The 14,097-nt window shown below is 56.3% G+C and overlaps 1 protein-coding gene across 4 annotated transcripts in view, besides 5 other annotated features; it reads right to left on the bottom strand.

The window, feature by feature from the left end:
- Nucleotides 3-688: an enhancer, noted in NCBI's record as "H3K4me1 hESC enhancer chr16:27233716-27234401 (GRCh37/hg19 assembly coordinates)". NCBI's record gives its function as "activates a minimal SCP1, AML or CMV promoter by ChIP-STARR-seq in naive H9 embryonic stem cells {active_cell/tissue: H9 hESC(naive)}" and the evidence as "EXISTENCE:reporter gene assay evidence [ECO:0000049][PMID:30033119]".
- The window catches only part of NSMCE1 (NSE1 component of SMC5/6 complex), a 43,779-nt gene continuing 32,283 nt past the window's right edge, over nt 2,602-14,097 (bottom strand). For all 4 annotated transcript variants that reach the window (NM_145080.4, XM_006721023.5, XM_047433772.1 and 1 more), the window contains 6 exons: nt 12,786-12,907; nt 11,796-11,873; nt 10,609-10,755; nt 4,328-4,444; nt 3,334-3,454; nt 2,602-2,844 (listed from right to left, as the gene is read on the bottom strand). In NM_145080.4, the coding sequence (NP_659547.2) occupies nt 2,765-2,844; nt 3,334-3,454; nt 4,328-4,444; nt 10,609-10,755; nt 11,796-11,873; nt 12,786-12,907 (665 nt within the window). In that variant the 3' untranslated portion in view covers nt 2,602-2,764. The remainder of the gene's footprint in view (nt 2,845-3,333; nt 3,455-4,327; nt 4,445-10,608; nt 10,756-11,795; nt 11,874-12,785; nt 12,908-14,097) is intronic.
- Nucleotides 9,748-9,847: an enhancer, noted in NCBI's record as "active region_10611". NCBI's record gives its function as "activates an Ori minimal core promoter by ATAC-STARR-seq in GM12878 lymphoblastoid cells {active_cell/tissue: GM12878}" and the evidence as "EXISTENCE:reporter gene assay evidence [ECO:0000049][PMID:35858748]".
- Nucleotides 10,028-10,077: a silencer, noted in NCBI's record as "silent region_7298". NCBI's record gives its function as "represses an Ori minimal core promoter by ATAC-STARR-seq in GM12878 lymphoblastoid cells {active_cell/tissue: GM12878}" and the evidence as "EXISTENCE:reporter gene assay evidence [ECO:0000049][PMID:35858748]".
- Nucleotides 13,198-13,287: an enhancer, noted in NCBI's record as "active region_10612". NCBI's record gives its function as "activates an Ori minimal core promoter by ATAC-STARR-seq in GM12878 lymphoblastoid cells {active_cell/tissue: GM12878}" and the evidence as "EXISTENCE:reporter gene assay evidence [ECO:0000049][PMID:35858748]".
- Nucleotides 13,468-13,992: an enhancer, noted in NCBI's record as "H3K27ac-H3K4me1 hESC enhancer chr16:27247181-27247705 (GRCh37/hg19 assembly coordinates)". NCBI's record gives its function as "activates a minimal SCP1, AML or CMV promoter by ChIP-STARR-seq in naive H9 embryonic stem cells {active_cell/tissue: H9 hESC(naive)}" and the evidence as "EXISTENCE:reporter gene assay evidence [ECO:0000049][PMID:30033119]".

The raw sequence follows: 14,097 nt of genomic DNA on the forward strand, positions 1-14,097 counted from the left end.
ACACCCCTGAAAGTAGCGAGGCATAAAACAGGGACGCCCTCATGACTAGGTTCGCCATTAGTGAGGAGGGGTGGCGGCCCGGCCACAGTGGGCTGTGACTCCTGGCCCGCCTGTGTAACTCAAACCCCTTCCCCAGCTGAAGGACAGGTGGACTGTGGCCCCAGCTCCCAGTGCCTAGCCGCTCCAGCTGGCAAGCCCCACGGCCCATCTGTAGTGTAGCGTGACAGAAAGCTGGGCACGGGAGGCCACGTTCATTAACGTGTGGTATCCTGGCCAGGTGGCTTCAAGCAGATGTCCCTTGTCAGATGAGGAATGGGAAAAGGGGAAATGTCCTGCCCTGTGGGTGAGGACACGCAGCATCTGGAACTCCTCATGAGGGTTTTGAGTGAGTGCTAGTGTGCGTTGTGGGACGTTCATGTCGGTGTTATCATGCAGGGGTTGGAGGCAAGAGAGACAAGCAGCAGGAGGGCTGGTGTCCCCAGTGGCCAAGTGCCCAGAGGCTTCCTGAGTCCCCAGCCAGGACTGACTCGAGCTCAAAGAATGAACAGCCAGAACCACAGGACAACTGGGACAGTCCGGAGCTGCCCCGGCCCCTCCTGCAGGCATTATTTGCTAGTTGGCTTTTTGCCTTCTGGCGTCCATCTTCCCGTCTTCCAGAACGGCAAGCTGACTGCATTCTGGAGAATGACCTCTGCCCCAGGGATGCGGTCCTGGAAGGTCTGTACATCAGCTCCTCCCTGGACCGGCATCTTGAGGGCGTGTCGGGAGGAGCTCAGACAGGCTGGAGCCGACCCCCTGTGGCAGCAGCGCCCGCAGTGACAGAATTGTCTTGACATCCATGACCCTTATTCCAAGGTCTCCCATTCTAGACTGGTCCTGCCTTCCTGTCATTTCTGCAAGCCACCTCATACGTTTCCAAAAAACCCCTCTTTAGGTGAGGCCGGCCGGGGCTGGCAGTGGCTGAACGTACTGGGCTTACCAATGGGCGTGTCTCTGCCCACTGACGAAGGGCTGGGCTGGGTCCCCGGCTGCCTCACTATGGGAAGGTGGGCTTGAGGGCTGAGGAGCCCAGACCTGGTTCTGGGAGGGTGAGCCTCCCACCAGCAGGGGTCATTGGTTCACTGAGCCTTGGATGCCTGCTCCACCCTGGGTTTATGGAGGTGAACAAAGTGGGGTGGTCCTGCCTGCAGCGGGGGAGGCCAGCCACCAATTCAGTGTCCAAGTTCACTCCCTGCTGCCCCTGAGGCTACTGAAGATGTGATCGCACCTTCGATATGCTTAGGGAAAGGCCCCTGCTCCCTCAGCCACGTGGCCTGAGAGGGACAGTCCCACCCCTCTCTCCGAGGTGGGTCTAATTTTCCAATGCCAGCTGGATAATCCCATCCCCACCTCACAGGTGTCCACGTGGGAGCTGTGGGCCATGAGGATGCTTGCAAGGATGTGGGAGCCACTAAGTGAGAGCCACCCTCTTCCTCCTGATCCCAGGCATGATGCGCGAGGCCCAGAGGCATGGCAGCTATTTTGCTACCATGAAGAAGGCAGCTGGATTTCTAGGAAACCACCTCGTAGGCCCCAAGCATGCAGCCAGCCCAGTGAAAGCACAGTAGACACAGAAATATGGCTGTGTGGTGACCTTGCTGGAGCCTCTAGACCAGGCATCTCCTCAAGACCCCTGTGGCCAAGTCCGTCCTTGTTTCAGCCAGTCTGAGTTGGCTTTTCTGTCATGACTGAAGCATCCTGACTGATGCTGGGGTTCAAGAGAGGGATGAAGATGGGGACTTAACAAGTGTGAGGATGGAGGAAGTGCAGGGAGCGAGGGGCTGACCAGTGCCAAAGGGCGAGCGGGTGCTAGCCAGGAAACAAAGCCAGACACCAGAGGGGAGGGCGCGCAGGCCCAGGGCGCTCTGTGTAGAGGCTCCGGAGCTGACGAAGGAAGCGCTGCACCCTGAGCAGTGGGTGGGGGGAGGCGGTGGCAGATGAGCAGGAGCCTCACCAGGGGTCACAGCCCTGCTGCAGCAGTGGGGGCATCCAGGGGTCTTCTGCAGGGAGCACAGAGGCAGAGTGTGGGCCGGGGCTGGAGCTCAGCCTGAGGCAGCAGTGGCAGGGCTAGAGGGCTATTGGCAGCTGGGCTGGACAGGATCTGGTGACAATGGGATGCAGGAGGGTCAGGGAGAGGAAGCACTGAGGCTGACTCCCAGTCCCGGCTGGGACAGCTGGATGGCAGGGCTGCCGGGCACCCACAGGGAGCAGAGCGTCCAGGGAGGGAGAGCACGCATCCCGCCCAAACGCCCAGCCTCAGCCCATTCAGGCCAGTGGCACCTTGGGCCAGGGGAGAGTCCAGACTGGGGAGCTGGGGAGGCCAAGGCTCACACATCCAGGTTCGGGCCAGCCCAGTCCTGCTGGGACAGCTGGCCACCGCTGGGACTGGAGGCAAGGCTGCCCTGGGCAAGGACAGTGAGCTGTTCTGAGTCATTGCTGGGGGCTCTTGCTGGCTTCACCTGCTGGAGCCCAAACCCAGGGGGTCTGAGTGACGACCGAACTCCAGGAAAGGCAAGGCCCCAACACGGAGCCTCACACACGGGCTCGAGAACACAGACGGGCTGCAGCAACTTCCCAGGATGGTTTATTCCAAAGCTGTGGACGGTGAACATTAAGACGAAAGAGGTGACTCGCGTGGAACCTGAAACACGGACGCCTTTCTTCCAAGAAGGGCTGTGGCGATCAGGCCACTCAAGGCAGCCAGCCCCTCAGCAGGGCACGATGGCTAATGCTGCCTGGACCGCAGGGACTTTTTGTTCGATTTCAAGACACCAGACTCCCTCTCCTTCTCAGGGTCGAAGACTTCTGTAGACAGAAAAGGCAGGAAAGACACAGTGAATGGAGGGGCTGGCAGCACAGGGGCACCAGCTGGAGCCAGCAGCTACGTCTCCTGTGCCAAGGACTGTCCTAGGTCTACACCATCCTTCACTGCTAACCCTCCCCAGCCCGTGAGGAAGGCAGAGTTAGCCCCAGTTCAGAGAGGAACAAACTGAGGGAGCTGTGGACATAGCTTTCACGTCCCCCTCCTGAGAGGGCTGCCAGAGAGAGAGCCTTGTCTAGACAAAATGCTCATACACGTTGGAATTTCAGCTGGGTTCTAGAAAGTCCTCTGGAGCGGTGCACGTAGCTCAGCCTTTACTTCCTGCAGTGGCTTCTTCTAGGATTCAAGCTGCTAACACGGACCCCCACACACCCTGGAGCCCTTCAGGGCCCTGTCTCCAAGGGCTTCCCTGGCACCAGGCCCCACGTCCTGCTGGCCCAGCCCCTCCCATGAGCTCCTCAGGGCCCACGCACTTGGGATCTCGTGGGGCCAGTAGTCGTTGCAGTGGGGGCAGCGCGGTTCAGCATTCGACTGGAAGTACTTGGCCACGCAGGGTAAGTGCATCCTGATCCCACAGGTTTCGCAGCTTTGACCCTGAAACAGGAAAGGCCAATGACGGCGGAGCTGGTGCACACCTCCATGTTCTGCAAACCTCCGGGGAAGCCACAAGGGAAATGGGCAGCAGGTGGCATCGTGTTATCTTCTGGGCCCCAGATTAATATTGAAAATAATCCCAAACGCCTTAGTGCAGTGGAGTCTTTTGTTTGCTTGCTGCTTGTTGCGGTGGGTTTTACTAAACAATTCTGAACACATGAACGCAGTGACAGAAGCCGAGGGCTCCCAAACTCCTGCACTCAGATCCTGCAGGTGGCGTGTGGACAGCCACAGCTTTTCAGAAGCTTATTTGCTAATGTGAATCAAAAGCTTTCAAAAAAAAAGTGCACTTTGTCCCAGAAACTCCGCCCAAGGAAATAATCACCAGGTGCCCAAGGATACAGGTGTACGAGGCCCGTAAGAGCAATTGCAATTACAAACAGCTACAGCTGCAAAACGATAGAAACTGAAAGACACATCAATGTCCACGCTGGTTCAGCGGTTGCAAAGCCCTGCAAACCAGTGTTAAGACCACTCCAGAAAGCAGCAATCGACAAGAGACACTCACTACAAAACTACCAAGATGATGCAGGTTGCACAGAACACTCAGCCTTCCTGAGAAAAATAAAGTAAGCGAGGGCCCTTGGACCCCAACAGCAGAACCAGGGAGGAGGGCGGCAGTGCGTCCCTGCGGGGCACAGCAGGGAGGCGTCCTGACACGTCCTGGGAGATGGCCTCCGCCAGCTCTTGTGGGAGGATGCGCCAGCAGTGCAGGAGGGCTGGGCCCAGAGCCAGGATTCCGGGAAGTACCTGTACAGAGCCCCGGGAGCCGAGGGCCCAGTGATGAGCTCCCGTGCCCTGCCCTGCGGGTACCTGGATGAGGAGGCTGTGACAGATATTGCAGATCTTCACCGCGTCGGGGTACGTCTCCCGGATGTATTGCTCCATCTCCAGGATGGCCCGGCCGTGCAGGGTGAACTCCCCTTCCTTCTGCAGGGACACACAGGAGGTGGCCACCCTCAGCCAGGCCCTCTCCCCATTCACCACCTCTCTTCCCTCTGTGATCCCACAGCCCAGTGCTCAGGAAGACACAAGGGTCTACGCAGCTTTTCACCAACCCCAGCCAACGGGCATCAGCCACATCCCCCTGGCAGAGCCTCGGCAAGGGAAACTGAGGCAAAGACCCTAAAGACATGGAGGCGTGGCTCCCTGACACCCGCCTTTTCTCAGCATCTGCTGTGCCTTCAGACGTGACTTCTCTGTCTGCACGGCAGCCTCGAGGGAGGCAGTCACAGCCCTCCTGCAGATGAGGACGCTGAGGCCCACAAGGGGGTCAGTCTCCCCAGGGTGCAAACCCAAACACCCACTGCTGCCATCCGCCACCCATCCCACTCCCAAAAAGCAGCATCCCTGGTGCCTCCCAGCACTTCTGCCTCCCAGCACTTCTGCCTCCAACTGCAGTAGGGACCCTCAGAGATCACTTCCAGCCACATCACTTTACAGATGGAGCTGGAAGGAGTCTGGAGAGGGCAGACAGGCCCCATCACACTGTGGGCAGTGGAGCCTCCAGTGGAAGCCAGGCCTCCTGGTTCCCATGCCAGGGTGCGGTCCACCCATCATGCATCCTGAAATCCCTGGGAGAGCCCGGAAGCACAAGAACAATGCAGCTCCCCAGGCCGACCCTACTGCCAGGTCACAGGAGAAAGGCAGCACTGAGGGAGACCCAAGGCAGGCAAATGACACGGGACCCAGGACATGGACCCATGCAGGCTGATTCCAGTTTCTCCACAGTCAGCTCATGCATCGGATATGAACCACACCAGGAGATGACGTCACTGACGCCTGCAAGTCACCCGAGTGCTCAACTGCCTTTTCTGTTATTTTCTAATTTTTAATTTTTACAAGCAAGAGCTGTCACTCCCGTTTCTTTTCTTTTCTTTTTTTTTTTTTTTTTTTGAGATGGAGTTTTGCTCTTGTTGCCCAGGGTGGAATGCAATGGCACAATCTTGGCTCAATGCAACTTCCGCATCCCGGGTTCAAGCAATTCTCCTGCCTCAGCCTCCTGAGTAGCTGGGATTACAGGCATGCGCCACCACGCCTGGCTAATTTTGTATTTTTAGTAGAGACAGGGTTTCACCATGTTAGCCAGGCTGGTCTTGAACTCCCGACCTCAGGTGATCCGCCCACCTCGGCCTTCCAAAGTGCTGGGATTGCAGGCGTGAGTCACCGCACCCAGCCCACTCCCGTTTCTGACAGGTAGAGCCCCCCACCCCATTCCCACCTTCATCCCCACAGTGCAATGTGGAGGGGTGTGCTTGCGTAATCTGGGCTCACAGTGCGTTCGCTCTGGAACACCAGTAGAGGAGCTGGGTGAGCACAGGAAGGAAGGCAGGGCAGAAGCGTGGGGTTGGGGCATGGACAGCCGCTGCGGGAACAGTGGAGGGAGGCCGGGGCACCAGGTGCTTGTGCCCTGCACCGCAGCTGTTGCTGGTGCACAGGGGCTTTGTGTCATCCAAGTGCTGTGGGCAATGGGAGGATGTGACCAGCCCCCAGGCTGTCCTCGGTCCTCAGTCCTATGGCTGTTACCTTCCCCCAAAGCTCCCAAATCCATCATGGCACCCCACCTCCCTGGCCACCGCCCTCTTCCAGCCTCCCCTCCAGATCCATCACGGCACCCCACCTCCTTGGCCCCCACCCTCTTCCACCCTCCCCTCCAGATCCATCACAGCACCCCACATCCCCAGCCACCACCCTCTTCCACCCTCCCCTCCAGATCCATCATGGTACCCCACCTCTCCAGCCCCCACCCTCTTCCACCCTCCCCTCCAGATCCATCACAGCACCCCACATCCCCAGCCACCACCCTCTTCCACCCTCCCCTCCAGATCCATCATGGTACTCCACCTCTCCAGCCCTCACCCTCTTCCACCCTCCCCTCCAGATCCATCATGGCACCCCACACCCCCAACCACCGCCCTCTTCCGCCCTCCCCTCCAGATGCATCATGGTACCCCACATCCCCGGCCACCGCCCTCTTCCACCCTCCCCTACAGATCCATCATGGCAACCCACCTCCCCGGCCTCCACCCTCTTCCACCCTCCCCTGCTCCTGCTGCTCTCTGAGCCCACTCTCCTCCAGCAACGCACTCGCTACCGAACAAGCCTGGCCCTGTCACTCCCAACTCACCCCCACCCCAGGGCTTCCCACCACCCTTAGGTCCAAGAGCCAAGCCCCTAATACGCGTATCTCCCGGGCTGCCCTCCGTCTGCTCGCCTCGCAATCTTTGTGCTCAGATGGCCCTGGCCTTAGCTTCTTGAGTGCACCTGCTGGCCACAGGGCCACTGCCGGGCTGATGATCCTCCCACCCCAGGCTCCAGGCAACTCCCACACAGCCTTCAGCTCAAGTGTCACTTCCTCAGCAGCTGAGGGCCGGTTCCTCTGGGACAGCTGTCATAAAGCCATGTTTCCTTTCCATCTGTACCAGGACTGCAGTGAGATGACCGTCTCACTGATCTCGGGCTCCCCCTCCAGACCATGGCCCCATGGGAGCGGCCACCAGCTCTGGCTGTGCTCACTCCTGTGTCCGCAGCACCTGCTGTGGGGCCCAGCACTTGGCAGGCCTGTGATAAACACCCACGGGAAGATGAAGTAGACCTTGCACTGATCCCAAAGGAATGCCTGACACTAAGCAAGTTCAAGCTCAGACTGAGGCAGGAGCTGCATTTATTTTTTATTTATTTATTTGAGACAGAGTTTCGCTCTTGTTGCCCAGGCTAGATCATGCAATGGCACGATCTCAGCTCACTGCAACCTCTGCTTCCAGGGTTCAAGCGATTCTTCTGCCTCAGCTTCCCGAGTACCTGGGATTACAGATGCCCGCCACCACACCCAGCTAACTTTTTTATATTTTTAGTAGAGACAGGGTTTCACCATATCGGCCAGGCTGGTCTCAAACTCCTGACTTCAAGTGATCTACCCGCCTTGGCCTCCCAAAATGCTGGAATTACAGGTTTGAGCCACTGCACCCAGCCAAGCTGCATTTACTGAACACCTGCTATGTGCCTGAAACTGCACCCAAGGCTCACCATTCATGACCCACTCAGTCCTCTGAGGGCCCATCAGGGGAGGGGCAGGAGGGATGCCCTAGCCCTCAAAGACGACGACAGCCCAGGTGATCTCCCAGGCGCCTCGCCACAACACTTGGAAGTCAGGACCTCGTGTAGGGAGCAGTCCTGGGGTGTATGGAGGTGCGCCGATCAGCAGACGCCCAGCTCCCATGAGCCGCGCTTGCTCTCAGAGGCCTCCCCGCTGACCCCAACCACCTACCACCCCTGGGCCTTCTCCTGGACGGACAGCTGCCTCAGCACCTCCATGCCGGGCCAGTCTCACACAGGACTGGCTGTCCAGGAGTGACGTGTCCTTGGGGTGATATACCCACCTGGAAGGGCCTTGTCAGTGGGCCCCTGGCTATTTCTGTGGGAAGCCCTGTGTCTGAGAGGCCAAGGATCAGACACTGACATGTGGTCTCTCTGATCGAGGTGCTGCCCTAGGAAGACCTGTCCTGGGTAAGTGAGCACCCGCCCCGGTTCTCAGTGATTCCTCCAGAGTGCCGCAGACCTCAAGGCAACCCTTACCAGGCCATGTAGGTCAGAGAGCACTGGACCCTCACAGAAAACACCTGGAGCTGGCAATGTCCCCATCCTGCAGATGAGGAAACAGTCTCCGCAACGAGAAGCTGCTCACCACAGGCAGCGGAGGAACCTGGAGGAGTCTCACCACACAGCCCCTGCCACATTAGCTTCGTTCCTTCGTCCTCCTGAGGGCCCCAGCAGGCCAGGCAGTCAACAAGAAGCCTCTCTAGGGCTACTGCCCAGCGCCAGTGCTGAGGGCCCCCTGCTACTTCTGCAGCGCTCCTGCAGGTGGCAGCTCCCGGATCCTCTGTCCACCCTCCCTCGAGCTCAGAGGCGCCCTGCAGAAGGTGGTGCCAGCACTGCCACCGAACTGAGAAAGGCACAGAGTACAAGCGCCTGCAGCCACAGCTCACCGCCACAGACTCCAGGGCGGGGCCTCTCCTATCCACCACCGCCCTCTCCAGACACCAAGGGCAGACAAAGGGCAAGTCAAACCATAAAGCTGGGGGCACGCCCTGCAAGCCATGCACAATGGTGGCAGCATGTGCTAGGCATGGTGCTCTTGGGTGCAAAGCAGGGTGCAAAGTGTTGTGTACTGGGATGTTGGGGCACTCGGCTCTAGGGTCTGGGATAACAGGTGACTTCAGTGGGTTTCTTTATGCATCTCAACATGTTCTAATCCTCCTGTAATGAGCAGATATTTCCTGTAACATTTTTTGTAAGTTTTAAATGCTGTTCCTCTGCAACCTCATCCACCTGTCCAGTCATCCATTCAGCAAGCATTTATTGAGCAGTTGAGGTGCCAGGCACTACATTCTGCAATGGGGACCAGCCATGAAGAGGTCATAACCCCTACCCTTAAAAAACTTGGCCTGTGGCCGGGCACGCTGGCTCACGCCTGTCATCCCAGCACTTTGGGAGGCTGAGGCAGGCGGATCACCTGAGGTCAGGAGTTCGAGACCAGCCTGGTCAACATGGAGGAACCCCGTCTCTACTAAAAATAGAAAAATTAGCCGGGTGTGATGGCGCATGCTTGTGATTCCAGCTACTTGGGAGGCTGAGGCAGGAGAATCGCTTGAATCCGGGAGGTTGAGGTTGCGGTGAGCCAAGATTGCACCATTGCACTCCAGCCTGGGCAACAAGAGCAAAACTCCATCTTAAAAAAAAAAAAAAAATTGGCCTGAAGAGGGGCTGCACCACAAGCGAGAATGGTCAGTTATAACCTGAGTAGCCCTAGAACATTCCCTAGTGCCAAATACAGCCTGGAGGGCAAGAACAACTGTGACAAAGCCATTGATGGGAGCTGCAGTCCCCAAACCGGGGCCTGAACTCGGCCCTGCCACTCTCAGGGTGTCCGACGTCATCCAGACCCCTGAGCTGTCAGCTAAAAACTAAGCTATGGAGCCACTGCAGGGCAGCAGACAGCCTCCAAGACATGACATACGGGAACGCGCCCAGCAGATCCTGCACTCACCAGGAGCTCCCAGCCCTGCCCTCACCCCATGACCTCTCCACCCTGTCTTCCCATCAGGTACCCCAGGAACTGAATTCGGGTCAGGTTCCTGGGACAGGCCCACCCTAAATAGAAATCAGTAACTCAGAACACAGACTTCCCCAACCCAGACGCGAGCCTTCCTGAAAAGGAAGCGGAGAATCGCTGCAGCCACAAGCAGCAGCCTCTGGCCACGAGTCCGACCACCAAGTGAGGAAGCGGGGACCCGGCGTGAGTGCGTCCTCAACACACATGGGCACAAGCACCTGGGAGGCACAGCTGTGGTCAACTCGGCAAACACTGAGCTGTTGAAAACAGGGGTGCCTTTTGTGGAAAAAGAACTGAAACATTTGTTCTGCTCCATTCAGCAGGACTAGACGTGGGGGTGGGGGCAACATCTAGAAACTGGAGCTGCAGTGGGGCCTGTCCCAGATGTCACAGCTCCTTTCCTGAAGCAGGTCTATGCCTCTTCTAAGCACTGGCCCTGAGGAACTCACTGCTGACAAAAACAACAGTGGTAATGTCACCAATTCCTCTGCCGCCTCCCCCGCGAGCCAGCCAGCCTAGCACCGAGCACATTACTGTGAGGTCCCATTCCCGCTCCTGACACACCCAGCCCCGAAGGGGAAACAACGACTCCCCTCTTACAAGGAACATGAGGTCACCTGGCTCAGGGTTCAGACCCGGGTTAGATGTTAGAGCCACACTCTCAGCCACGGAACTGCCCTGCCTTGCAGTCTGTGGGCTAGAGCCTTGATCCTGGGGCCCAAGTCCCTGGGCGCGGCTCCTGGCTCTGCCATTCTGGCTGTGGCATCCTGAACACATCATCTGGGTGAACGGGGAGTGGGAGGCAGGAGGAGTGAGGCCCAAGTCCTCCCCACGGGGTCACTGCTGGAATGCATGAAAGCAGATAAGGGATCCGAGAAGGCCGGGCTCCTCAGACATCAGTTGGCTACAAGTACGATTTTGGAGAAAAAACTGTTATTCACTTGAAAAAGTGAACCAGGCTGGAAAAACCATGAGACAGTACCTCAATCAGCCACTTGTTTTGAACAAACTTCTGCAGCACCTGCTCCGCTTCCTTCTTCCTCATCTTCTTGCCTTTAAGTTGATCAACCAGGTTCAATATGTTTGTGGAAGACGCAAAGCCGGTTTCTGAGTCAATAATCAGTTCCAGCTGGAAGAAAGAGCAGGTATCATGCTCATCTATTAAAATGGCAAAAATAACTTTTAAATGGTAATACCAAGTCTGGCAGAGGCACAGTAAAACCACTCAGATCACAGGCAGAACTGTACACTGGCATGGTATTCCGGGAAAACAATTTAATGTGCATCAAGAGCCAGGACTGTGCTCAGTTCTTTTGACTCAGAGGTCACTTCTATAACATCCTCCCAAATAAATCATCTTAATGTCCCCAAATCAAAGAGGGTCGCCTTGCCTCACGGCTGGCCTCGGAGGCAGTGAGAGAGAGACACGGCAGGCAGGAACCGCTGGGGAAGACAGGTTCCTGCACACGCAGGTGTGTGCTCAGCTCAGCACCTGCTCCTCAACCTTGGTGGCTAATAATCCCCAGGAGAAGATCTAAAAGGAATGATTCCACCGCCTGGTTCTCAGAGATTTGGATTCAACAGATCGTGAGTGGGGCTGAAATGTCTGAATTATTTTTCACCTCTGCAGTTATTATCATTGCATCTAGGCCTGAGAACCACTCTTAGCCATGTGTTTGAGCAGAAGGCTGAGCAAATAGCTCTGAAGCCTGGTAGAACAGTACCTGTCAAATGTGCACGTGCAAAGGATTCAGTGGGCACCTGGCAAAAATGCAGATTCGGACTCAGCAGTCTAGAGTGGGGACTGGGACCGGGCCTTTCTAACAAGCTCCCAGGCGATGCTGCTGCTGCTGCCTTTCCCAGATGGCACTTGGAGCAGCCAGGCAGGAACGCCTGTTACTACCAGTGAAGCCCTGCTCTTGCCCATCCAGTTGGGGCTCACACCTGGCCCAGCACTTCCTTCTCAGGCAGCCATGGGGACCCCCTGGCAGCTGTGAGTTCCAGATGGGTAGACAGTGACATCTCCCTGCAAAGCCTTTTCTCAGACAGCAATGGTGGCCCATGTCCCCCCAGTGATCCTTGAACACTGCAGTTGCCACTGCTAATGACGGAGACAGAACTTTCCCATAAGAAGCCCACCCAATGGGCAATGGGGATTACTCTACTTACAGCCTTTCTAAACAAATCCAGTTCATTCTCTGCAAAATCCGTAGCCATTTTGGAAATTGAAGTTGTAGCAAGATTCACCTAAGAAATAAGTCAGCACGACAGTCAGGCTGTGCTCTTTGCGTGTTGGTTAACGTGTCGCTGGCTCTCCCTCCCTCCCCTCCTCCATCTCTGGCCAGTCACTGAGCTCCTGTATCCAGGCACTGCGGGCCGCAGGGATGGATCTGTAACCAGGCGTATATTACAGACTTTATTCTTTAGCTCAGCCAACATGCTGGGCCCTCAGAAGTTTCAGAACTCCAAAGGGTGTGCAGTATTTTCCAAACTCAGATAAATTTGGGAGATTTGTCTGCATGTTAATGGAGCTTCAAATGCAAAAAAAGCACTGAGAAGTCTGATAGCAAGGAAATCTGCTTTGCCATGTCTGACCAGCATTTCCACAGTTCTTTGACTCTGTAATGTTTTTTTTCCAGGGAATTGAGTTTGGGCAACCCTGGACTAGAGTGCCCCTTTCTGAGTGTGAGCCTGGCTGGGAGCAGCCAGATGTCCTCTGACCAGCTGAGGTGTCTCCTAGCCAGGGATGGGGCATGTCAGCTTCCCACTCCTGTATTTCACCCTGGCTGTATTTCACTCCTGGCTCTGCCATTCTGGCTGTGGCATCCTGAACACATCACGTGGGTGAACGGGGAGTCGGCGGCAGGAGGGATGAGGCCCAAATCCCTACCTGTGAGAGTAAATCTGAAAACCACTGAAGGCCCCACCCACATGGCCTGCAATCCTTGACACTCCTACAGAGTTTCTTTTCATAGCTTCTATGTCTTATTCTAAATAAAAAACCATTTTCTCCCTTTATTCCTAATATTCTATACATTTGGAGTGACTTCTTTGCAAAGAACTGTCCAAAAGAGAAATCAAACCAAAGCAAACACAGGCTGCCTGGGCCCTGTTCCAGCTCCTCAAAAATGCCACTAGAGGGCTCTGCCGGGCACTCACCAACGCATAAATGGGTCTCCCATCATCTTCCGTGACTCCTCTCTTTATCTCAATATACAAGGACTCCAAGACACTGTTAATGTTGTTGATGAAGTCCTCCAACTTATCTACGGTGGCATTGCCTGGAAATAAACAGACCAAAAAAAGGGGGGTGACCAGGGGGCCTCATCAAAAAAATGTAGCTTGCTTGAATCATTCCATCCCATCTCAACGCAGGGGACAGCAACCCCAGACATGGGTGGAGGCTGCAGCCTCTTGGGTGAACGCCAATGCCACGTGGCTTCTTTCTTCCTGGAGTACTTGGAAGACAAACAGACAACAGATGGAGGGCGTTGTGAGGCAGGAGGGCCAGGGAGATGCTATCTGCAACCACGGAGGCTGCCGCGGGCTTCCTGTCTTTGCTCGCTGCCTCCTGATGAGAGTCCCAATCAGCACCTTCAGCGCATTACTCAATGATGTGCTCAGAGCCTGCGTGAGCTCCCGCCGCACAAACATCCTATCCCATCTCAGCCCTTCTATCGCATCCCCAGTGCCCCGCGAGAGGCCTCTGTCCCTGTATGTCCCCACACATCTTAGGTGGAGCTTTATTCCTTTCTCTTTTTATTCAATGTCGGGTTATCCTCACTTACATGCCAGGCTTGTGCTGGGTCCTGGGCTGGAACAGTAAGAATAACAACAAACGGGGTGAGAAGGGTGGCTTGCAGCGAGCCCTCAGCATGGAGAGGCCCTGTCCTGGGCACCTTTTGTCGTCATGAATCCACCCTCCAGCAGCTCTCTGGGCACAGGGGAAGAGGCTGAGACGCAGAGAGGTGAACTGACTCGCCCAGAGTTGCACCACAAGGCCGGGGCTTTGACTTCTCTGTCGCCCACCTCCCCTGGCCCTGCCAGCAGGATGCTCACAGCCCAGGGGCCACCATCCAGGTCCATCAGTCTGAGGAGGGGGCACCCACACTATTGCCGGGGGCTCAGCTGAGGAGGACAGAGAGGCTGCGGTGAGGACAGGAGCCCGTGGCCGGGGACAGCAGGGCCTTTCTCCTGTGGCACCAGGAAGCCTCTGAGCACTGGAAGCAGTGGAAGGACATGGCCAGCGTTGTGTCCCTTTTATGCTGTGAAACTTTTTTTTTTTTTTTTTTTTTTTTGAGACAGAGTCTTGCTCTCGCCCTGGCTGGAGTGCAGTAGCACAGTCTTGGCTCACTGCAACCTCCACCTCCCGGGTTCAAGCAGTTCTCCTGCCTTAGCCTCCCGAGGAGTTGAGATTACAGGCATGCACCACCACACCCAGCTAATTTTTGTATTTTTAGTAGAGATGGGG

The sequence above is a fragment of the Homo sapiens genome, chromosome 16, assembly GCF_000001405.40.
Source record: "Homo sapiens chromosome 16, GRCh38.p14 Primary Assembly".
NCBI classification, from domain to species: Eukaryota; Metazoa; Chordata; class Mammalia; order Primates; family Hominidae; genus Homo; species Homo sapiens.